The sequence below is a fragment of the Homo sapiens genome, chromosome X, assembly GCF_000001405.40.
Source record: "Homo sapiens chromosome X, GRCh38.p14 Primary Assembly".
Classification (NCBI taxonomy): Eukaryota; Metazoa; Chordata; class Mammalia; order Primates; family Hominidae; genus Homo; species Homo sapiens.
This window is the reverse complement of record NC_000023.11, coordinates 34,129,271-34,152,904: the sequence shown is the minus strand read 5'-3', so window position 1 is coordinate 34,152,904 and position 23,634 is coordinate 34,129,271. Positions and strand designations below refer to the sequence as shown.

The 23,634-nt window shown below is 37.4% G+C and overlaps 1 protein-coding gene and 1 pseudogene across 1 annotated transcript, besides 2 other annotated features; one reads left to right on the top strand and one right to left on the bottom strand.

The window, feature by feature from the left end:
* Positions 5,152 to 5,865, bottom strand: FTH1P14 (ferritin heavy chain 1 pseudogene 14; annotated as a pseudogene).
* Positions 5,227 to 5,390: a silencer, noted in NCBI's record as "fragment chrX:34165632-34165795 (GRCh37/hg19 assembly coordinates)". NCBI's record gives its function as "represses an EF-1alpha promoter that drives an FKBP-Casp9 reporter gene in an ReSE screen in K562 erythroleukemia cells {active_cell/tissue: K562}" and the evidence as "EXISTENCE:reporter gene assay evidence [ECO:0000049][PMID:32094911]".
* Positions 5,404 to 5,944: an enhancer, noted in NCBI's record as "H3K4me1 hESC enhancer chrX:34165078-34165618 (GRCh37/hg19 assembly coordinates)". NCBI's record gives its function as "activates a minimal SCP1, AML or CMV promoter by ChIP-STARR-seq in naive H9 embryonic stem cells {active_cell/tissue: H9 hESC(naive)}" and the evidence as "EXISTENCE:reporter gene assay evidence [ECO:0000049][PMID:30033119]".
* FAM47A (family with sequence similarity 47 member A) lies at positions 20,591 to 23,153 on the top strand. The gene has a single exon (NM_203408.4). It carries the CDS (start codon positions 20,627 to 20,629, stop codon positions 23,000 to 23,002), a length of 2,376 nt encoding a protein of 791 aa, NP_981953.2. The 5' UTR covers positions 20,591 to 20,626; the 3' UTR covers positions 23,003 to 23,153.

Below are 23,634 nucleotides of genomic sequence, written 5' to 3'. Positions count from 1 at the left end.
ACATCAGACCACCTAAATATATAAAACAAATATTAGTAGATATGAAGAGAGAGATAGACTGTAATACAATAACAGTAGGAGAATTCAATATCCACTTTCAGCAATGGACAAATCTTTAAGAAAGAAAATAAATACCAAACACTGGACACATGCTACACCTTAGACCAAATGGACCTAGCAGATATACACAATGCAGTACATCCAATAGATGTACTGCATTGTGCAGAATACACATTCTTCTCAAGCACATAGAGAATACCTCCAGAATAAATAAAATGTTAAGCCATAAAGAAGTCTTAGCAAATTTAAGAAGGTGGAAATGGCATTAAATATCTTTTCTGACAATGGCATGAGTGTAGAAATAAATAACAATAGGAATTTTAGAAAATTCATAAATACATGGAAATTACACAGCATGCACCTGAACCACCAATGGAGAAACAGAGAAATTATAAATCAAATTTTAAAATGTCTTGAGATAAATTTCGCCTCTGCCACTTACTAGTTTTGAGACATGAGGAATTAATATAATTTCTCTGAGTTCACTGTCATCATCTGTAAAATGGGTATAACAATAGCACCACATTTTATGTTGCTGTGAGGCAGAAATGAGGTAATTTATATAAATGACTTAAGCTGGTGCCTTATACATGGCAAGCTCTCAATAACTGTGAGCTATTTTCATTAGTGAAAGCAAGTCATGATACTGTAAAAGACTTTAACTAGTACCTGTATTTTTTTCTGGTATAAAAAGCTGACATTTAGGAAGCCCTATTTTTTTTTTTAGATTACCTTTACCAATAGATTTCTTGCAGATTCATATCCACAGTAGAAATAACTTATTTCTAGTTTTGAAAACATATTTTTAAACCAGTCCCTTAGAAGACTCCTGTGTGATCCACACGAGGAAAACATACTTCCAAGTGCATTCTTTGTCTCAGGGCAAAAATATCATAAAATATGTAAACCAATTTGTAATCTCCTTATTTGCCAAAATCTCATCTATTACATTGTGTTGAGTTATTGCTCAAAATCTCCCTCTCCCTTAGGTAACATCCCCTCATTATCAGGAATAGGTAGTTCCTTCATACATTATTTCCATATTATAAATTACTCAGATAATTGTCATTACGATGATGCTTTAGATTTGTTTAGAGTCCACTGTTTTGATACGAAGAGTAACTGGCCTACGTTCTTCCACAAACCTTGTAAAAATTATTTCATTACTGTTTGTGAAAGTTCATTGAATGATTGTGTAGCATTATCTCTTTAATAAACATTGAATGGAAAATTATAAATGAAAACACTTCCTAAATTCACTCTTGATTTAATTGTTCATTAAAATAACCTCATATTGGATGTGTGTTTTACTCTTAAAAAATTGGCAAACTGCTAATACATCTCACTTAACTGGGCCAAGTCCATGTCTCATTTAACTTTGACTCCCTAGCACCAACTCATTTATTAAGAACAAATGTTTGTTGAATCGAATTAAACAGCCAAACAGCAGACAAATGAAAGTTGTGGTTAGTAAGATAGGCCAGACTCAAACGCTGCTCTTGTGAAAAAGCATTTTTAATCACCTTGTTATTTTCTAGGATAAAATAATCATTTATAAAAATGATTACATATTTTCCATATTTAGAAAATAATAGTTCTGTATTATGTTAATGTCTGCCTGGGAATAAAATAAGTACCTTATCAAATTCATTGGAATTATAAGAATATAAGTATACCCAAAAGTAGCTGTGAGGATACATTTAAATTAAAACAGCTACAAGAGTTTATGGTTAGGTGTTGCTTCATGTTCAATATTGTTTGGGAAAAATGCAGTTTCAATTTATAGAATTACAACATGTATTTTAGGGCTGGAGAGAAGCTTAACATGTCCTTTACTGAACCTAGAGAGGAATGCACTGCAACAGGATGTCCATTCAAAATTGAATAGTGACATAGAAAATGCTGATGATCTCTACTGGAGGAAAGAGGTGGACTATAAGATGCTGCACATTACTTGTATATTTATTTAACATTCCAGGACTTTATTATTAAAATACTGTAAGCCATATGTGCCTTTTTTTTTTCGCATAGCTCAGTGCCAGAATTTTGAGGAATTTCAGCATGCTTTGGTGAGAAAAGAAACAGGTATTTGTTTTCCAAAAGAGTTAAGGCACTGACTGCTTTTGTCCAAAGGATGTATTACTGACCAAAAATGAGCAATCTTGGAAAATCAAAAGGAAGAACTTTCCTGCTGATAAGATGAATATATAGGTAGAGAAAGGAAGGAGTATAAGCTATGTGGGAGCACTAAACCACCTCTCAACTTTAAGTATTAGATAAATATCAATGTCATCATTCTCAGAAACCATTCATTTAAAAATGAAAATTAGAGGATAACAGAAAAGAAATATAGTGTTAGGAGTAATCCATCAGGAAACAAAATGGTTCTGGGTGTTATCTACACACACTCATGCTGAGGGGCTTGAATTCCACTTTTTGCTTTGAAATTTACTGTGCTGGAATTTTCACAGCAAAAGCAAGTTTTGCATAATGACTTCTCAGTGAAAGAGCCGTTAAGCTGCCGGGTATATGCTTCTGGAATAACACGCCATGAGATTCTTTGATGTTGTTTACGGAGTTATTTTCTTTGGAGTATTGTTCTGTAAAATTTGGTAGAAAAAGCATCTCATGATTAGGAAGTTGGGAAAATGCTGAATATTTTATCCTCCTGTTGTAAATTCACAAAATATATTTTTATATTGAAGACTGAAAATTCCTAGAGTAAAAAATATAAACTGAAAACAAAGCAAAAAAATTTGCTAATTTAATAAACACAAATATGTTCTGCATATATATAATTTATATTTATATATAATATAAATATATATTAATAAATATTGATACATATTTATATATACAAAATATATAATTATGTATTATATATAAATACAAATATATTTAAAATATTGCCACAAATCCACTTTTTCACTGAACACCTATTGCTATTTTGTGTGATATGATGATAGGGAACAGAGTCTAATAAAACTGGTTTAAGGCCAGGCGCAGTGGCTAGTGCCTATAATGCTAGCATTTTGGGAGGTCGAGGCAGGAGGACCTCTTGAGCCAAGGAGTTTGAGACTAGCCTGGGCAACATGAGAAAACCACATCTCTACATATAATACACAGATTAGCCAAGTGTGATGGTGTGGGCCGGTAGTCCCAGGTACTCAGGAGGCTGAGGTGGGGCTGTAGTGAATAGTGATGGTGCCACTGCACTCCACCCTGGGTGGCAGGGTGAGACCTTGTCTCAAAAAAAAAAAAAAAAAAAAAAAGGAAAAGCTGGTTTAAGGAATTAAAACCCCATAAATTATGATAGAAACACATTTCCAGGTGATAAGGAGTGGCTGTGATAGCAGCATTCACTTCTATTTTCATGGAGACAATTTTTTCTATTTTTTCCTTTTCATTTTTCATGCTTTTTCCTTTCAGCATACTCTATTAGGAATAAAGTGAAAAATGTCATTTGCTACCCCAGAGGAGCCATTCACTTCACTATAAATAATTACAATAGAACCCGATAAAGGTGTATTGATAATGAGATTTATTAGCTAAGTTTCTCTTGGTAGCAAGCAAAGAAAACCAAATCGAAGTTAGATATATGAAACCTGAGCACAGAAATAAAACCAGGCTCAAAAAAGATCTAGAAAGCAGATGTATCATTTTCAATAACACAGTCACTGAACTGCTTTGAACAAAGGTGGCCTTCCTAAGCAAAAATTCAGAATCTTGTCTGGAGATTCAAAATGAAGCCCGCTGCTGGTAGAATGAATGCATATAAATAAATACATAAGAAATACATATAAACAAAATTTAAATCTATGCATATATAAGTATACTCGAATATCGTTCCTTCAACATTGATTTGTTCAACGTTGTTTCATTATAACGTTGATGAGGAAAAAAATCAATTTCCAGAGGGGCCACTGTCTGTGTGGAGTTTGCACGTTTTCCCCATGTCTGTATGCGTTTTCTCCGTGTACTCCCATTTCCTCCCACATCCTAAAGTTGTGCATGTTAGGTGAGTTGGGGTGTCTACATTGTCCCAGTGTAAGAGTGTGTGTGTGTGTGTGTGTGTGTGTGTGTGTGTGTGTGAGAGAGAGAGAGAGAGAGAGAGAGAGAGAGAGAGAGAGACCTGCTATGAGATGGCATCCTGGCCAGGACTGATTCCGGCCTTGCTCCCTGAGCTTCCCAGGTATGCACCAGCCACTCTCCCCCTGAACTGGAATACATGGATAAATAATTATTTTACTTGTTTCTATCAATCTTTTAAATGTACTTATAATTCAAATTTATTTCCATGTTTAATACTGGAAGTAATTTGGTCTTTCTTTACAAGTTTGGTGATGTTTTGTGATGGGAAATATGCCACAAAACTTAATTCTTGTTTATATCAATTAGCCTAGGGTAAAATGGGTTTCCTTACCAGTTCTTCTGTGTAAAGTTGCAGTTTCCAAAAACCTATCAACAACATTAACTGAGGACTTACTATAATATATATGTATATGTAACGACTTTATTGGAAGAAATAGTACAGATGCCCAGCAATGGTGACTATAGGGATTTACTACGAAGTCTATGGAGAAACCAGCCCATTCCCATTAAGTCACTGTCACTCAGCGTGAGTTTGTCAGAGAGTACTCTGTCATGCCATCTTCCAGGATCCCCAGCTTGCTACCTAGAATCAACAAATGTTAACATTTTCATATTTAAGAAACAAAAGTTTTCATGTCAAGATGAAGACCTCTTTGTGTATTTTAATCCCTGCCCAATCTCATTCCCCTCACTTCTTCCCCAGAGGTGGGGATGAATTCCGGACCGTGTTTCACACTTTACGATGCCCAAGCACCCCCAGACACCAGGGCCCAAGACTGCCCATCCCACCCCATCCCACTCCATATATCCACGTAGTTTATAAAGGGAAGACTAATGTGCTTTCCAGGGCCCCATGGAATACCTTCCTCCTCCAACCTTGGAGATCCTGAGCTGCATGCAGATGGGGCAGGGCTGGGTGGAGAGACTGCTGGATATCAACTTTAAACTTGTGTGAGGATGTGCCTTTATTCCTAAATAGTGAGAGTTTTGCAGGCACGCATCAACTGGACACCTTTATTGCTTTGAAAACCAGATAACTGTATTGCCAACAATGGTAAAACTGAAAGGAAAAAACTGAAGAGAACGTTCTGGAAGGGCAACATGCCCACCCTGTCTGGCGGCCCAACCCGGTGAAGGCACCCCGTGGCTGTGGGGCCCATCTGGGCTCAGGGCTCCTCCCCACTGCGGCCCAGGGTGAGCTTGTCACACAGGTACTCTGCCAGGCCGGTTTCCCGTGGCCCACATCTTGCGCAGGTTGCTCAGGTAGCCACTCAGCTCTTTGATGGCCTTGACCTGCTGGTTCAGGAAGTGGCTCTCCAGGAAGTCGCACAGCTGGGGGTCACCCTTCTCCATGGCCAGGTAGTGCAGCTCCAGGAGGCTGTAGTTGACACTCTCCTCCAGGTGGAAGGCACACTCCATGGCCTGGAGCCCACTCTCCCAGTATTCACGCTCTGGTTTCCAGATGTCAGGAAGGCAGATGCGGCCACCGCGCAGGTTCTGCAGCATTATCAGCTTCTGGGCGTGCTCCCTCTTCTCTTGCGACTGGCTCAGGAAGCAGCGGCTGAAACGCTCCAGGGTCACGTCGTCCCGGTCTAAGTAGAAGGCCATGGACAGGTACACACAGGAGGCGTGGAGCTCCAGGTTGACGTGGCTGTTGACGGCGGCGTCGCAGTCGGGGTGGTAGTTTTGGCGCACTTGCCATAGCGGGGCGGTCAGCGGTCGCTGGCAGTCGCTGAGTCTGTGACAGGACCGGAAGTGGGCAGTGGAACCGCTTCTGGGGGGTGGGTCGCGCTCCGCAGGGGCCGAGATATGTTCCATGTAGGACTTCAGTTGATTCAATGAAGCCCACCCACATTAGGGAGGGCTATCATCTTTACTCAGTCTGATTTAAATGCTAATCTCATCCTAATTCATCCTCAAAGGCACAGCCAGAATAGTGTTTGACCAAGTATTTGGGCACTCTGAGACCCAGTGAAGTTGAAACATAAAATTAACTCACAGTATTATTCATGATAAGTCCAGAGTGAACAGATACAATTTCTAGTATTATAATCTGTGAAAACTCTTTGTTTGGACTTTCACTTATCTTCATCATTTAAAAAACAGTTACACAATTGATAAGACAAAACACGTTCTGGCTCAGTGTCAGTGATTAGCTCTCATCTACGCATTCAATACATTTCTACTGAGTACCTATTAGTTACCAGATATTTTTACAGATACTAATATAAAAACTTGTTCTAAATATTCCTCGTACTTTCTTTTTTTTGTAGCTGAGCAATATTCAACGTTCTGCATCATCCCTTCTTGTGGTGCAAGTTTTCTTTTGAATGCGTCTATAGTAATACACGCAGTAGACGCCATGATGTACTCATAAGGAAGTGGACCATAAGTAGTTGGTGGCTTATCTCTTTCTCTTTCTCTCTCTGTGTGTGTGTGTGTGTGTGTGTGTGTGTGTGTGTGTATGTGTGTGCATATATTTACATATCTGTGTATATATGCATATGAATAAACAAAATCACTTTTTAATGAGAGTAGTGAAAGTGGTGCATCAATCCAAAACCAGTATTACCTGTCTCTGGGCTGTTCACTCTATATTAATTATTTCATTATCACAGAAACATTCTGAATTAATTTTTATTATTATCACCCATATCTTACAGATAAATAAATTGTGAATTAGAGCATTTGTAACATACTAAAACACACTTTTTAAAATTTTACTGGTATGAACACTTAACATGAGACCTACTCTAACATATTTTTTAGTGCACAGTAGAGTATGATAGACAGTAGAGTATGATAGTTGCAATGATGTGCTGCAGATTTTAAGAGTTCATTTTTTTTCTTTTTTCTTTGTTTCCCTCCCTTTGGTTTTTTGTTTGTTTGTTTCATTTTCTTCGTTTTTTGTTTTTGAGACAGAGTCTCACTCTGTTGCCCAGGCTGGAGTGCAGTGGCCCCATCTTGGCTCACTGCACCCTCCACCTCCCCAGGTTCAAGTGATTCTCGTGCCTCAGCCTCCCGAGTAGCTGGGTACCACCACACTGGTAAAGTTTATTCATCTTGATCAATGGAAACCTTGTAACCATGGATTAGTAACTCCCGTTGCCTTCTCCCCCAGCCCTTGGCAACCATCATTCTATTCCTTGATTCTATGAATTTGACTATTTTTGATACCCCATATAAGTGGAATCATGCAGTGTTTATCTTTTTCATTACTGGTTTATGTCGCTTAGCAATCCGTTGCAATCATTTGGCATAATGTCTTCCAGGTTCATCTATATGTGGAATTTTTTCTTTTTAAAGGCTGAATGGTAATTTATTGTATGTATATCCCACGTTTTCTTTTTCCGTGCCTCTGTTGATGGACATTTAGATTGTTTCCACATCTTTTGAGCTCACAACTTGTAAATAGCAGACAGTGACACTCTTAGTTGTATTCCTCCCTACGTAGTTTGGAAAGTTTTGCAGGACCATGAACTCCTCTAGGACAAAGACTGTGTGTAATTGGCTCAATGATCAATTCCACATAGTAAGGGTTCAAAAATATTATTTAAAGGATTGATCAGCCTGTTAAAAGTTTTAGTCTTATTATTTCTCCAAATTTAAACAATGAGTGGCAGTGGACGTTGATTATTTATTTAAACAGTGTTTCCTTTGGAAGAAAAAAGAATCAGTGACACTCAATGTTGAGAAATTCTTATAATTTTAATATTCACTGAGATAAAACTAGTATAAAAATGTGTATGCTTAAAGGTATGTTTTTATACCTGTAAAATAAACAATTTATAAGTATTAGAAATAAAACTGTAAAAGTAAAAACTAAGAAATTTCTATTGTATTTCACATTGTGTTTTTTGTCTTAAACACAATCACTTCTCGCTGAGAATAGACCTAGTTTCTGTGGTGCAAGTTTTCTTTTGAATGTGCCATGCCTATATACCCTGATATACTTGGAGTATCTTCATTCTTGAGCACTCTTTTTTACTGAAATGTTTGACACACCTTATTTTACATAATGATTCATAATGTAATTTTTCTTTCAGGAAATGTAAGCCATCCTTTAAATATTGTCCAGTCAAGTTCTTTTTTATGAAGTTGTGAAACGTAAAGTGATACTTTATTCTGATGAAGTTTGATTTCTTTCATAAATTACAATAAAGAGTCTCGAGAACTTCAATAACTGAAGGTGCTGCAGTTTCCTTCTGTTAATATATTATTCCTTTCCTAATCATCACTTTGCAGCTGGTAAAATAAGCCAACATGACCATATGGGTGAACATGAGACAACTTCATTTTTACACTAAGAAATGCCATCTGGCAGCAATCTCACTTAGCAGGATTGAAAACACACATCCAAATAAGAACACTGAATTTTTGTGGCTGTATTGAACTGTAAAGAGATCGAGATAATCCTGAAAATGCTTAGAGTAATTTTTCATTTAGATGTAACACAAGAAAAGATCTATGGGATTATCAAATACAGATATAGCATACTGAATTTTAATGGCATGAACACATCTGGTATTCAATAATTATTTTTTGAGGACTTAATGTATCTTAGTCTTTGTGCTAAATGCCAAATGATTGCAACAGACATTGGCTTTAATCTCATGGGCCCAGGAGCCTGTTTTGGTTCATTTTCTTTGCCAATAGAATATATATATATATATATATATATATATATATATATGACAGATATATATATTTATGTATGACAGATATATATATGACAGATATATATATATGACAGATATATATATATGACAGATATATATATGACATATATATGACAGATATATATATGACAGATATATATGTCAGATATATATATGACAGATATATATATATGACAGATATATATATATATATATATATATATATATATATATATATATATATACACATCTGACAAAAGCAATAGGGAAAGGATTCCCTATTTAATAAATGGTGCTGGGAAACCTGGCTACCCATACGCAAAAAACAGAAACTGGACCCCTTCCTTACACTTTACACAAAAATCAACTCAAGATGGATTAAAGACTTAAACATAAAATCTAAAACCATAAAAACCCTAGAATAAAAGCTAGGCAATACCATTCAGGACATAGGCATGGGCAAAGACTTCATGACTAAAACACCAAAAGCAATTGCTACAAAACCCAAAATTGACAAATGGGATCTAAATAACTAGAGAGCTTCTGCACAGCAAAAGAAATTATCACCAGAGTGAACAGGCAACCTACAGAATGGGAGAACATTTTTGCAATCAATCCATCTGACAAAGGGCTAATATCCAGAATTTATAAGGAACTTAAACAAATTTACAAGATAAAAACAACCCCATCGAAAAGTGGGCGAAGGATATGAACAGACACTTCTCAAAAGAAGACATTTATGCGGCCACCAAACATGAAAACAAGCTCATTATCACTGGTCATTAGAGAAATGCAAATCAAAACCACAATGAGATACCATCTCACGCCAGTTAGAATGGCGATCATTAAAAAGTCTGGAAACAACAGATGATGGCGAGGATGTGGAGAAATAAGAATGCTTTTACACTGCTGGTGGGAGTGTAAACTAGTTCAAACATTGTGGAAGACAGTGTGGTGATTCCTCAAGGATCTAGAACCAGAAATACCATTTGACACAGCAATCCCATTACTGGGTACATACCCAAAGGAATGTAAATAATTCTACTATAAAGACACATGCACATGTATGTTTATTGCAGCACTAGTTATGATAGCAAATACTTGGAACCAACCCAAATACCCATCAATGATAGACTGGATAAAGAAAATGTGGCACATATACATCATGGAACGCTATGCAGCCATAAAAAAGAATGAATTCATGTCCTTTGCAGGGGTATGGATGAAGATGGAAACCACTATCCTCAGCAAACTAACACAGGAACAGAAAACCAAACACTGCGTGTTCTCACTCATAAGTGGGAGTTGAACAATGAGAACACATGGACACAGGGAGGGGAACATCACACAACAGGGCCTGTCAGAGGGTAGGGGGAAAGGTGAGGGAGAGCATTAGGACAAATACCCAATGCATGCATAGCTTAAAACCTAGATGATGGGTTGATAGGTGCAGCAAACCACCGTGGCACATGTATACGTATGTAACAAACCTGCACGTTCAGCACATGTATTCCAGAACTTAAAGCAAATAAATAAAATTTAAAAAAAAGAAAATATATATGTCCATTGTCTCTCTCTCTCTCTCTCTCTCTCTCTCTCTCTCTCTCTCTCTCTCTCTCTATATATATATATATATATATATATAACTGATCCTATATATAGGATGAATAAATATGTTAGTTGCTAATAAATTGATAATCTATAAAATATGTGCTAATATATTTACTTTAAATTATTAAAATATATTCAATAATATTTTCTTTGCTATTTTTACTTCTATTGTCACAAACACAGAAATTGCTACAGAAGTTCTTATATCTTCTCCTACATATAGTGGTAAATTTTATGGAAAAATAGATTTGATGTAATTATGTTACTTAGCCTAAAGACCCGGAATATCTTGGTTGAAAGTATACATATTTTGCTTCACCAAAATCCAGTGTAAATTTTTCCTAACATGCTAGGAGAAAAGCATAATCCTTGCAAAACCTTTCCCTATGATTCCATAAGCTACTACGATATTAACCCAGTATGTTAAGAGAGTAAGTTATGTTTAATGTGATCATTATTTTTATAAGTTGACATGAGTAATGGCCTCTGAGTTTTTAATTTTCTGAACTTTTCTTCCACATTCTCAATGGTTTATTTGTTGACTTCACCTTTCATAAAAATATGATAAGGACTTTAACCAACTAATGTTAAAACTCAGTGAAACGCACAATTTACAAAAGTAAAAGTTTTGTAAAATGTTTCCTATGTATTATTTACATTTATTACCTTCCTTCTGAGCTTTTCATTCTTCAATTCTTGTTCATACATGAAAAATAAACAATATGATTTTGACTTGGTTTCTTGGAGTCTTTTGCCATTTTCCCAGTACGTCTTTTAATATTCAAGGACAGTTACATCTATTTAGGGAGTTTCAAATTTCTAGAAAGTATATTACTTTTAGTAGATTCCTGCCAATATGATTGTAAATCTCATTTATTTTAATATGAATTAATATGATACACTTTAGGTAGAAATATTATTAACATTTCACTTTTGCTTATGTGTACGGTGCTATTCAGTTATGCTTTCTTACATGACAAACAATCCATGAGGAAAGGCTTATTCATAATCTGCTAAGTGCTGGAGGCAGTAGGACTCCAGTCTCATTAGTAATCTTATCTATTGATTTTCTCCTGCCAGGAAAGAGGTGATTCTTGAAACGAATGGCAGTAATACAAATTTATACAGCATATGTATACTCAAGCAGTAATATGAATTTATACAGCATAGGTATACTCAAAGAGGAATTTGTGTGCAAAGACAAAGCCTAGCATTTCTTTATATAACCTAAGTTGAAGATGCATTGTAAAGGAACTGGTGGTTTGAGAAGGAAGGTGAGGCAAACGCAGACAATTTGAATGGGAAGAGGCTGTTGAAACTGAAAATTGAGAAGGGAACTATGAAAAATAATTCTTAAAAGGCAACCCTCTTCACTTTGACTGCCTGCAGGTATGGCAAATTCCTTGGCTTGGGGTGAAAGAGGAAAGCTGTGCTGAGAGCAGCTACTGGTAGCAGGGCATATGATTGTGCAGGGCATATGTACATGCAGGTGTTGCAACATTGCTTAGCATTCCTCAGACCTTAAATCACTGTCAAGGACTAAAAACTGCAATGATGACTGGAAATATCTGTTTCACATCCAAAATAATCTATTTAGAATTGCTTCCTTAGTTCACCAGGTCTCTATCAAATATCAGTGCTTTTAGTTCCTTCCAAATCATCACTCTGGCCTGTAATCCAATGTATCCCTGAATTATGCTATAGAGAAAAATGCAATTTCCTCCATGTGGGTCTCCTTCCTTAAGTTTTTCTTCCCCACATTAAACATCTCTAACATTTAGAAAAAGACAATAGTTTCTAAATGAATCCAGGTGCACAACTGTCCAAATCATGAAAATAACTTCCTAAATCCTTATTCATTGATAAATATGTTGATCAAATCAGTGTAAGTATTTCAGTTGATCAGTTTGTCTACAGAGATTGCAGCTACAAAATGAAAAATCACGTTCAGCTTATTCATTTGTTATAAATGTAAAAGGAGCAAAGGAAAGGATCAGAGGTAGCGAATATCTCTGGTTTTGCATAGAATATTGTGATTCCTATACCTTCTAAGAGGTAGAACATAAAAGGAAAGTCCACTTCCTTTTTTCCCGGAGACACCGGTTTTTAGACTATGGGGCTGATTTTCCTAGCCATGCTATTAAATATAATTGGTTAGATTACATTCTAAATTAAGCCAGTTCATTGGAGTAAACCTCTGTACAGGACACTTGGCATTATAAGGCTGTTACATAGCTGGCTGATGTAGCATACCCTTCAGACTCTTTGAAGGAGTACTGTTGTGTCAGATGAGCACAAAGGTAATAATATAATAGAACTATTTTTATAAAATCACAACTCAACACTTTGTTACAGGTTCAATAATATCTTAGAAAACTGTGGTGTGTTCACACGTGTATTGTGTACATACATTTGCCTATACATATTAGGCTTTGATCACTAACGTTAAAACTAGCTAAACTTTGGACCTTTATGTGAATTGTGGTATGAATATATGTGTGTATATGCATGTTATTTTTAAGAGCTGTGGTTTTAACATAGAATTAACAGCCCGTATTTCAAAATTGCGGTTAAAATTGTAACAATCTGTCTGTAAATAATACTAATATTGCATATTTTTGCCTGCTCGTCACACGTTGGACATTAGCCAGGTAAAGTGGACACTACTGAGAACATGGCTTTTAGCTGGTCATGTGTGTATGTGTACAATACTCTGTAAATTTTGAATTCTGTAAAAGACGCAAATGTTGCATTCGAAGCCAAAGAATAAGATTAAGACAGCACTCGTGGACAACCAAGATTATTGATTATTCTACATTATTCACACCCATGATATGAAGCGATTCTGGATTTTTTTTTTTTGCTAGCTACTAGGAAATAAGCTAAGATTTATGACAGCTTGTTGAATGCATCTACCAAAATTCCATCAATAGGAAAGTGAGACCAGTGTTTTTTGATTAAATCAGAGGATATGACACAGTAACATTTACCTGTCCTCAAAGTTTTATTACTTTAACCATAAACAAAATTGCGAAGATTTTAGCCATTTGTTGTCCTCTAATTATATACTAGATAATTTCATTTGTAGCTGAACCACCTTATAAAACAGAGCTGCGTCTGCTCGATTATTTTCTAAATATTACATTCTATTTATATTTGTGAATTGAATGGACCAGGTGATACATATGCATGCAAGGAGACAGGAATACTGTCATATTTTTGTATAATTGATCTATACAAGGAAATAGAGTGAATCTTCTAGAAATATAAAAATACTAGCCTGACATTGTTCATTTTTACTTTTTGAGAACTTGTGTAATTCATTTGTTCTCTTTTCGCCTCAAGTTCTTTATTAATATCAGTAGAGCTGGACTATATCCTGTCTGAGATACTGTGATCAAATTACTATGTATCCAGGGATTTCAGCCCTTGACTGTGAATCATTATCAATGGGAGGAATTTTGATTCAGCAAGCTCAGGGCAGAGCCTTGGCATATATACTTTTAAGATGTGCCACAAGTGATTCTGATAATTCAGCCAAGGTATGGAATAATTCTTCTATGCATTTTTATTCAAAGAACAAAATGGAAATCTTTAAGTCTATTATTTCTTAGGCCTTAACTATATTTTATACCTTGCTGAGAAAAACTATCAGTGGGTGTAGCAGTGGTAAAATTGCTGCAGTGTGTCTCATTATAAGACAAGTACATTGTTACTGGTAGAAAAATGATCAAAATGAATAGTGTATTCATCAGATTTCTCCAGAAAGATAAGAAAATAATAGGAGTTATACATATCTCCTATTATTTTACATATATGTAGAGAGAGCGAGCGAGCGGAGGGTGACATATAGGATAATAGGAAATAGTTGAATACATAGAATATAGAAATAATAGGATATATATATTATATATATCCTATATATTATATATAAATATATAATATATAATATATATCCTATATATTATATATAAATATCTAATATATAATATATATCCTATTATTTCCTATTATATAATATATATATCCTATTATGCATTATATATTATATATCCTATTACATATATTATATAATAGGAAATATATCCTATTATTTCTATATTCTATATATTCAACTATTTCCTATTATCCTATATATAAATATATATAATATATATAATTTATATATTATATATATATATACATAGAGAGAGAGAGAGAGAGAGGGAAATTTAAAGGAATTCATTCACGTGACTGCGGGGGTTGGCAAATCCGAAGTCTGTAGAGCTGGTTGTGGGTTAGAAATTCAGGCAAAAGTTGATGTTGCAGTCCTGATTCCGATGGCTGGAAACTCAAACAGATTCCTGTGTTTCAGTCTGGAGGGAGAATTCCATCTTCTTTGGAGAATTTTGTGTTTTTCCTGAAAGCCTTCAACTGATTGGATGATGCTCACGCCTCCTATGGAGGGTAAATCTGATTTACTCAAAATCTACTATATAAAATGTTAAATCACATCCAAAAAATACCTTCACAGCAACATCTAGACTGTTTGACCAAATATTTGGGCACCATAGCCTAGCCATGTTGACACAGAAAATCAACCATCACAGAAAGCAAACTTAGCAAGAGCTAATGAAAACAAAAGAATTCCAAAGACGGTTGGATCAGAGTGAACAAGATTGGGTATCTGAGAAAGGCTGGCAGGTGCCGCGTGTGGGTGGAAGAGACAGCAAGGTTGCAGATAACTGGAGTCTGCTGGAGCATGAAAATGGTGTCCTGAGTTAAGTATGCAGTAAAGGTTGTAGGTAACTAAGAGCAGTCAGAGGCACACAAAGATGTCAGAACTGGGAATACTTAGGCTCCATTAAACCAATGCACTTCATCGCATTGATTTTCATTGTTTGTTCTCATTCCCTTGTTTGCTTATTCATTACATGCTGCTCCACTCAGAGCATTTTGACTTGCTTGAACATTTCTTTATTAGCTTGTTGGTGTTGGTTTTGCTTGTCAGCTACACTATTCATTTCTGGAGTAACACTTCATACTAAGGCAGTTGGTGCTTCTTGACTGAACAGGCCAGTTGTAATTTCTCTGCACTCTACAGTGATGTCAGTTTTCTTCAACTCAAGAAGGGCAGTTTGCACGAGTAAGTTGCTTTCACTCCTAGTTTTTTTTTTTTTTTTTCACTGTCAGTCACCAAACTTTGTATCTTCTTTACTCTTCTATCATGACTTCATTAACCTGTGGGCCCACCAGGTATGTGCATGTTACCTAAGGGAATTATTCCGTTCTCAGGCTCCATCTAGTATATGCAGAAATTTCATTTTCCCCAAATTTGGTTACTTTGGATGATACCATTACTACTGTGGTTTTTAATCTCTTTGAAAGTCTTTGGGACCTATAAAAGGCAAAGGGCTTTAGAAAAGTAACTCTTACATATTGGTGTGTATAATTTAAAGACCATGTGAAATGTAGATTACTGGCTCCACTTAGAAAAAAAATATGATTTACTGTATATGCGGGGGGGACAACAAGTATGCATTTTAAAGAAGCTACAGCTTTCTCTCTTGTATGATTAATAGTGATTTGTTGATAATTCATCATGATGCAATCTATTGTTTAAAATGGAAACCTTTTATTTTAGAATAATTTCAGATTTATGAAACATTTGCAAAGGCTGTACAAAGCATTTTCATGCACATTTCACTCAGCTTCCCCTAAAATTAATATCTTACATTGTACATGCATTTAAACTAAAAAATTAACATTGAAATATTACTATTAACTAAACTTCAGACTTAATTCAGATTTGGAGATTTTTTACGCCCATGTCCTTTTTCAGTGCCAGGATCCAACCCAGCCTGCCACATTGAATTTAGTTTTCCTGTCTCTTTAATCTAAAGTCTATGACCGGTTCTCAGTCTTTACTTGTTTCCCATGACCTTTATGGTTTTGAGGAGTACTTGAGAACTTTGTAAAATGTCCCTGGACTTGAGTTTGTTAGATGTTTTCTCCTCATTAGACTAGGATTCCGGAATTTAGGGGAGAATACTACAGAAGTGAAGTGTCTTTCTCATCACATCCTATCAGAGAAGTGCATGATACCAATGCGACCTCTCACTGCTGATATTAACATTGATCACTTGCTTAAGGAGAGAACCGCCAGGCTTCTCCACTAAAAGGTCACTATTTTTTCCCATTCCATATTTTACTGTTTAGAATCCAGCTCACACCCTGGGGAGGACAATTAACTTCCACCTCCTGAAGGGAGGAGTATCCCTGTACATTTTCTGAAATTCTTTGTAAAAATATTTGTACCTTTTTCCTCATTTATTTATTTGTACAATTATTTATATCAGTATGGACTCATGGATATTTTATTTTATATTGTGTTATAATTTTTAAATTTTAATTCATTTTGTTGCCTAAATTGTTTTAACTTTGGCCATTGAGTGCCCTTTCAGTTTGGCTCCTGATCTGCTTCTATTCTTTTGTTTTCTGAGAACTTCCATATTTTCTGGCATTACATAATACTCCAGGCTAATCTTGTGTTTTCACTGCCCCAGGCCTAGAATTACTCATTTCTCCAAGGATATCTCTGTTTTGTTTTGCTTTTGTTATTTTAGAGAATGGTATTTAGAAACCAAGATTTGGGCACTGGATGTACTTGTTACTTGGGTGTCATTTTTTTCTAGTTTCTCAGCAGAGACAGAGCTATAAAACATAAGCATGTATACTAACCAATATGTACACACATCTATAATTATTTCTTTAGCTATATACCTCTATATGTTAAACTACTGTGTATTATACATTTTTTGTTTTCTGTTCTTTGTTTTCTTATTAAGTTTTAAGAATTATTTATGTATTCTAGATGTGAGTCCCTTGTATAATATTCTACTGTGAAAAGTGAAAAAAATGAAGTGGCTTTAAGGAACAAAAACTGTTTTAATGAACAGTCACATGAAAAATTTTATATAGGCGCAATTGAACTTTAGGAGATTAAATACATGTTTTTTTCTGGGATTATTTGGAATATAGAAGACTTTTTCAAACTCTCATGCATTTTAGATAAGTGAGTACTCACATGAGCTTGCTAGTTAGAGTATTGTTATAGAGAATTGTTGAAGCATTGGCTCTTGAATGTAACATACAGTCCATGGAATTTTTCTATTAAACTAAAGAGCTTCTGCACAGCAAAAGAAACTACCATCAGAGTGAACAGGCAACCTACAGAATGGGAGAAAATGTTTGCAATCTACTCATCTGACAAAGGGCTAATATCCAGAATCTACAAAGAACTCAAACAAATTTATAAGAAAAAAACAAACAACCCCATCAAAAAGTGGGCAAAGGATAGGAACAGACACTTCTCAAAGGAAGACATTTATGCAGCCAAAAGACACATGAAAAAATGCTCATCATCACTGGCCATCAGAGAAATGCAAATCAAAACCACAATGAGATACCATCTCACACCAGGTAGAATGGCGATCATTCAAAAGTCAGGAAACAACAGGTGCTGGAGAGGATGTGGAGAAATAGGAACACTTTTACATTGTTGGTGGGACTGTAAACTAGTTCAACCATTGTGGAAGACAGTGTGGTGATTCCTCAAGGATCTAGAACTAGAAATACCATTTGACCCAGCCATCTCATTGCTGGGTATATACCCAAAGGATTATAAATCATGCTGCTATAAAGACACATGCACACGTATGTTCATTGCGGCACTATTCACAATACCAAAGACTTGGAACCAACCCAAATGTCCATCAAAGATAGACTGGATTAAGAAAATGTGGCACATATACACCATAGAATACTATGCAGTCATAACAAAGGATGAGTTAATGTCCTTTGTAGGGACATGGATGAAGCTGGAAACCATCATTCTCAGCAAACTATCACAAGGACAAAAAACCAAACACCGCATGTTCTCACTCATAGATGGGAACTGAACAATGCAAACACTTGGACACAGGAAGGGAAACATCACACACGGTGGCCTGTCATGGAGTGGGGGGATGGGGGAGGGATAGCATTAGGAGATATACCTAATGTAAATGACGAGTTAATGGGTGCAGCACAGCAACATGGCACATGTATACATATGTAAGAAACCTGCACGTTGTGCACATGTACCCTAGAACTTAAAGTATAATAAAAATAAAAAAGGAAAAAAAAAAAGAAAGTTAAAAATAAATCCATATCAAATTTGGTCTTACCAACATCACATTATGAAATCTACTAAATACCTTGAGACTTTAACATAGATTCTTATAATCAATAAATGAAAATATTTGTGATATGTAAATGTACGATGTTGCTTTTCCTTTATATAGACATCAAATGTAGAATATTTTTATTTTCAAACTGTAGTAATACCATATAAATTAACAAGATTTTAGAGGATGCTTATTCTGTTCCAGACACTATACAAAGTCATGTTATATAGATTATTTTGATTTACACATAATCTAGTTCTTTGATTTAATGAGAAACCTAAGAGGAATATATATTGTGTCTATTTTACAGAGGAGGAGCCAAAACCAAGAGAGGCATTGATCGTACCTCATTTACAAGGAGGAACTAGGGTATACCTGCTTGTAATGGTAGAAAACATTGTTCAGCTGCACCTAACAAGGGAAGTAAGAAACCTTCTTTTAAAAATGAGTAAGAATGTACAGAAAAAATTATTATGTGATGAGAAAATGGTATGCTTAAGGAATAATGCAGGCTGAATTTGTCTATAATTAAAATTTTTTATAAAAATGCTTTTCATAGCGTTGTTTTAAGCACTATAAGAGAGATAAAAATTTAACTGATATTATTTAAAGGAAAATGAAGGGTTGCAACTGGACTGGTGGAGGTATAACGATATTCAGATTGGAAAGGAAGAAGGGAAACTGTCTTTATTCACAGATGACACTATCATATATATAGAAAATTCAATGAAATATACAAAAATGCTTCTGAACATAATGAGTGAATTTTCCAAGGTTGTATGATACCAATGGATATACAAACATCAATATTTATATATGCTAACAACAAAAAATTGGAAATTGCAACTAAAAATACTACATATAATAGTATGAAAAACAATATTTAGGAAAAATCTGGAGAGAAAAAGATGTGAAAGGCACATACACTAAAAAACACACAATATTCCTGAGAAAATGAAAAATCACGTAAACAAATAGAAAGCTGTACATTTCTCAGTGGTCAGATTTCCTATTGTTAACATGCCAATTATCCTCAAATTGATCTATAGATTCAACAAAATCCTAATCAAATTCCCAACAGGACTTTTTTTTTTTTTTGACGTTGACAAACTGACTTTAAAATTTCTATAGAAATTCAAAGGACCTAGGAAAAACTAACTTTGTAAAAGAACATTGTTAAAGGACTAATACAGCCTAATTTCTAGATTTATTATAAAGCTAAAGTAACCAACAGAATGGGAAATTTGTGTGAGAGAAAAATCAATGGAAGAGAAAAGAGTGTCCAGAAATTGACCTTCAAAAAACATACACAACTGATATTCTACCAATTTCCAAATGTAATTCAGCGGAGAAAAATTTAGTCTTTACAAAAATAGTTCTAAAATTATCAGATATATGTAAGCAATAGGTACATTTTTAAATAAAAACTTTGATCTATATCTTGTGCTGTTTACAAAAATTAAAACCTTGACCTTTGGATAGGCCAAGTTTTCATAGATACATCAAAAGAAGCACAATCCATAAAAGAACAAACTGATAAATTGGACTTCATCAAATTAAAAAAACTTCTCTTTGACACTGTTAAGACAATGAAAGGGAAAAGCCAAGGATGAAGTGAAAAATTTGCAAATCATATATCCGATAACCTATTTACATCTAGAACACAGCAAGTATTCTCAAAACTAAATATGATATCCAGAAACACAATTTAAAAATGGGGAAAAAATCCACAGAAACTTCAACCAAGGAGAGATAAGGATGGCAAATAAGCAAATATAGAGATGTTCAATATCAGTAGTCATTAGGAAACGCAAATGAAACCCGGAATGAGATTCCACTACACACCTGTTAGAATCTGGGCTGCGCAGGTGGCGTCAGCGCTGCTCCGCCTCCAGGAAGGAACCTGGGCTGCGCGTGGCTGGCGGTCTCCTAGCGACTAGAGCGGCAGGGATCTGGGACCTCAGAAGCTGGAGACGTGGCACCACAGCGAGGGCCACCATGGGGGACCAGAGGCTGCAGGACTGGCTGAGGTCCCCGGGCATGGACTCCAAGCCCTGGTACTGTAACAAACGGCCTTCCAAGTGCTTCGCGAAGTGCAAGCACAGGCGCCTGAGGTTCCCACCCATGGACACCCAGAACTGGGTATTTGTGAAGGAGGGCATGGACGACTTCCGCTACGGCTGTCCGTCTCCCGAAGATACTCTCGTTTGTCGCCGTGACGAGTTTTTACTCCCCAAAATATCTCTCAGAGGTCCCCAAGCTGACCCCAAAAGCGGGCAGAAAAAGCTGCTCAAGAAAGCGGCCCTATTTTCCAAGCTCTCTCCAGCCCAGCTAGCACGGAAGGCGTTCGTAGAGCAAGTGGAAGCCCAGCTAATGGCCAAGCATCCCTTGGCCATGTACCCCAATCTGGGAGAAGATATGCCTCCAGATCTCCTACTACAGGTGCTGAAACACCTGGATCCTGAGAGGGAGCTGGAGGACGCTTGGGCTTGTTGTGAGACCCAGGAGAAGACAACAGAGGTACCCACTGAGCCTGGTAAACATCCCTGTGGGGAATTCTGCCTGAAGCCTCCCGAGACTCCGGTGTCCCATCTCCTCCCAGAGCCTCCCGAGACTGGAGTGTCCCATCTAAGCCCGGAGCCTCCCAAGACTCCGGTGTCCAGTCTCCGCCCGGAGCCTCCTGAGACTGGAGTGTCCCATCTCCGCCCGGAGCCTCCAGAGACTGGAGTGTCCCATATCCGCCCGGGGCCTCCCATCACTCGTCGGAGATCCAGTCTCCTACGACAGCTGCTGAAACTGGATTCTGAGAGGAAGCTGGAAGACGCACGGGCTCCTTGTGAGGGCCGGGAGAAGACAACTGACGAACCCACAGAGCCTGGTAAATACCCTTGTGGGAAATTCTGTCCTCGGCCTTTCGAGACTCCACTGTCCCATCTCCGCCAGGAGCCTCCCAAGACTCCGGTGTCCAGTCTCCGCCCGGAGCCTCCGGAGACTGGAGAGTCCCATCTCCGCCTAGAGCATTCCAAGACTCGTCGGGGGTCCAGTCTCCGCTCGGAGCCTTCCGAGACTGGAGTGTCCCGTCTCCGCCTAGCGCCTCCCAAGACTCGTCGGGGGTCCAGTCTCCACGCGGAGCCTTCCAAGACTGGAGTGTCCCATCTCAGCCCGGAGCCTCCCAAGACTGAAGTGTCTCATCTCCACCCAGTGCCTCCCAAGACTGGAGTGTGCCATCTCCGCCTGGAACCTCCCGACACTAGTCAGGTGTCCAATCTCCTACTATACATACTGAAAGTGCTGGATTCTGGGAGGACGCTGAAGGACGTATGGGATCGTTGTGAGGCCCGGGTGAAGAAAACTAAGGAACCCACCGAGCCTCATAAATCCCCTTGTGGGGAACCCTGCCTGCAGCCTCCCGAGACTCAGGTGTCCCATCCCCACCCGGAACATCCCAAGACACGTCGGAGGTCCAGTCTCCACTCGCAGCCTCCCAAGACTCGTCGGACGTCCAGTCTCCGCTCGGAGCCTCCCAAGACTCGTCGGACGTCCAGTCTCCGCTCGGAGCCTCCCAAGACTCGTCGGACGTCCAGTCTCGGTCCGGAGCCTCCCAAGACTCGTCGAGTGTCCAGTCTCCGCCCGGAGCTTCCCAAGAGTCGTCGGGTGTCCAGTCTCCACCCGGAGCCTCCCAAAGCTCCAGAGTCCCATCAATTCTCGGAGCCTCCCAAGATTCGAGCATCCTACATAAAAGAACTGCTTCAGGAAGATACACCAAGCACAAAAGAGTGCGTTTCTGACTCTCTTCAATATAGATACACATCGGAAAAACTCCGTGAATTCTTCAAGTGGGCTGGAGACCTGGGAGCTGATGAAGAATCCATCAGGAATCTGTTTGACTTTACCCCCAAGTACAGAGCAACCCATGAGGACCAAAAGTTTAAGAAAGTAAAGGAGTGTTCCTCAGAGCTGAAGTACAGCATGGAGCTAGATGAAAAGGATGAGGACAAATTCTTCTCACAGGAAAAATACTGGGGCAGGAAATTCCACACGCCATCGAATTCTTATACCGCACAGCGTGTGAAGATGAAGTATGGAGCATGGTACCTCAAGCCTAAGTTGTGGAAAAAGCTAAGAAGTGATGAACCTTTGATTGACCCCAAGCTCTTACTTAAAAAGCCTGATGAACCTGACGTTCTTGACGATCTTTATGGACCAATTGCCTTTAAGGATTTCATTCTAAGCAAGGGCTATGAAATGCCTGGCATCATTCAAAGGCTGTTTGCCAGGAGGGGATGGACTTATGACTCTGTTAAGACTCCTATTCAACGTGCAATGATATTTTACAAGTACAAAGAAATCGTAGAGGCATCGGAAGAAGATTAGGCAGTTTTCAATTTACTACTCAATTGGGTATTTCTTGCTCTCATTTTAATCATCAATCATAATTTATGATGACTGGCCCCGTGGATGCACAACTTTGGCAACATCTGTAAATTCAATACCTAATGTTTATCAATATTTCTTAATGAACTGCTTTGGCTTCATTATTTCATATATTTTATCAATTATGTGATTAATATTCACATATACTTTTTCACATTGTTGAAGCATTGTGAATATTACATCATCATGTCAATTATTTGTAAAAATACATAAAACCAGAAATTATTATTATTAGAATTATTCTTTAAAAGAGAAATAGGGTCGGGCACATTTGCTCATGCCTGTAATCCTCCCCGCTTTGGGAGGCCCAGGTGGGTGGATTGCTTGAGCCCAGGAGTTCAAGACCAGCCTGGGAAACATAGTGAAACCTGGTCTCTATAAAAAAATCCAAAAATTAGCCAGGTGTGGTGGCATGTACCTTGTAGTCCCAGCTACCTGGGGGCTGAGGTGGGAGGATAGCTTCAGCCCAGGAGGTGGAGACTGCAATGAGCCGTGATCCTGCCACTGCACTCCAGTCTGGGTGACAGAGCAAGACCCTGTCTCAAAAAAAAAAAAAAAAATGTGCTGAGTAA

Bases quoted from the DNA above. Each gene is read 5' to 3' on its own strand.
- FAM47A (NM_203408.4), top strand. From the start codon at position 20,627: ATGGGGGACCAGAGGCTGCAGGACTGGCTGAGGTCCCCGGGCATGGAC.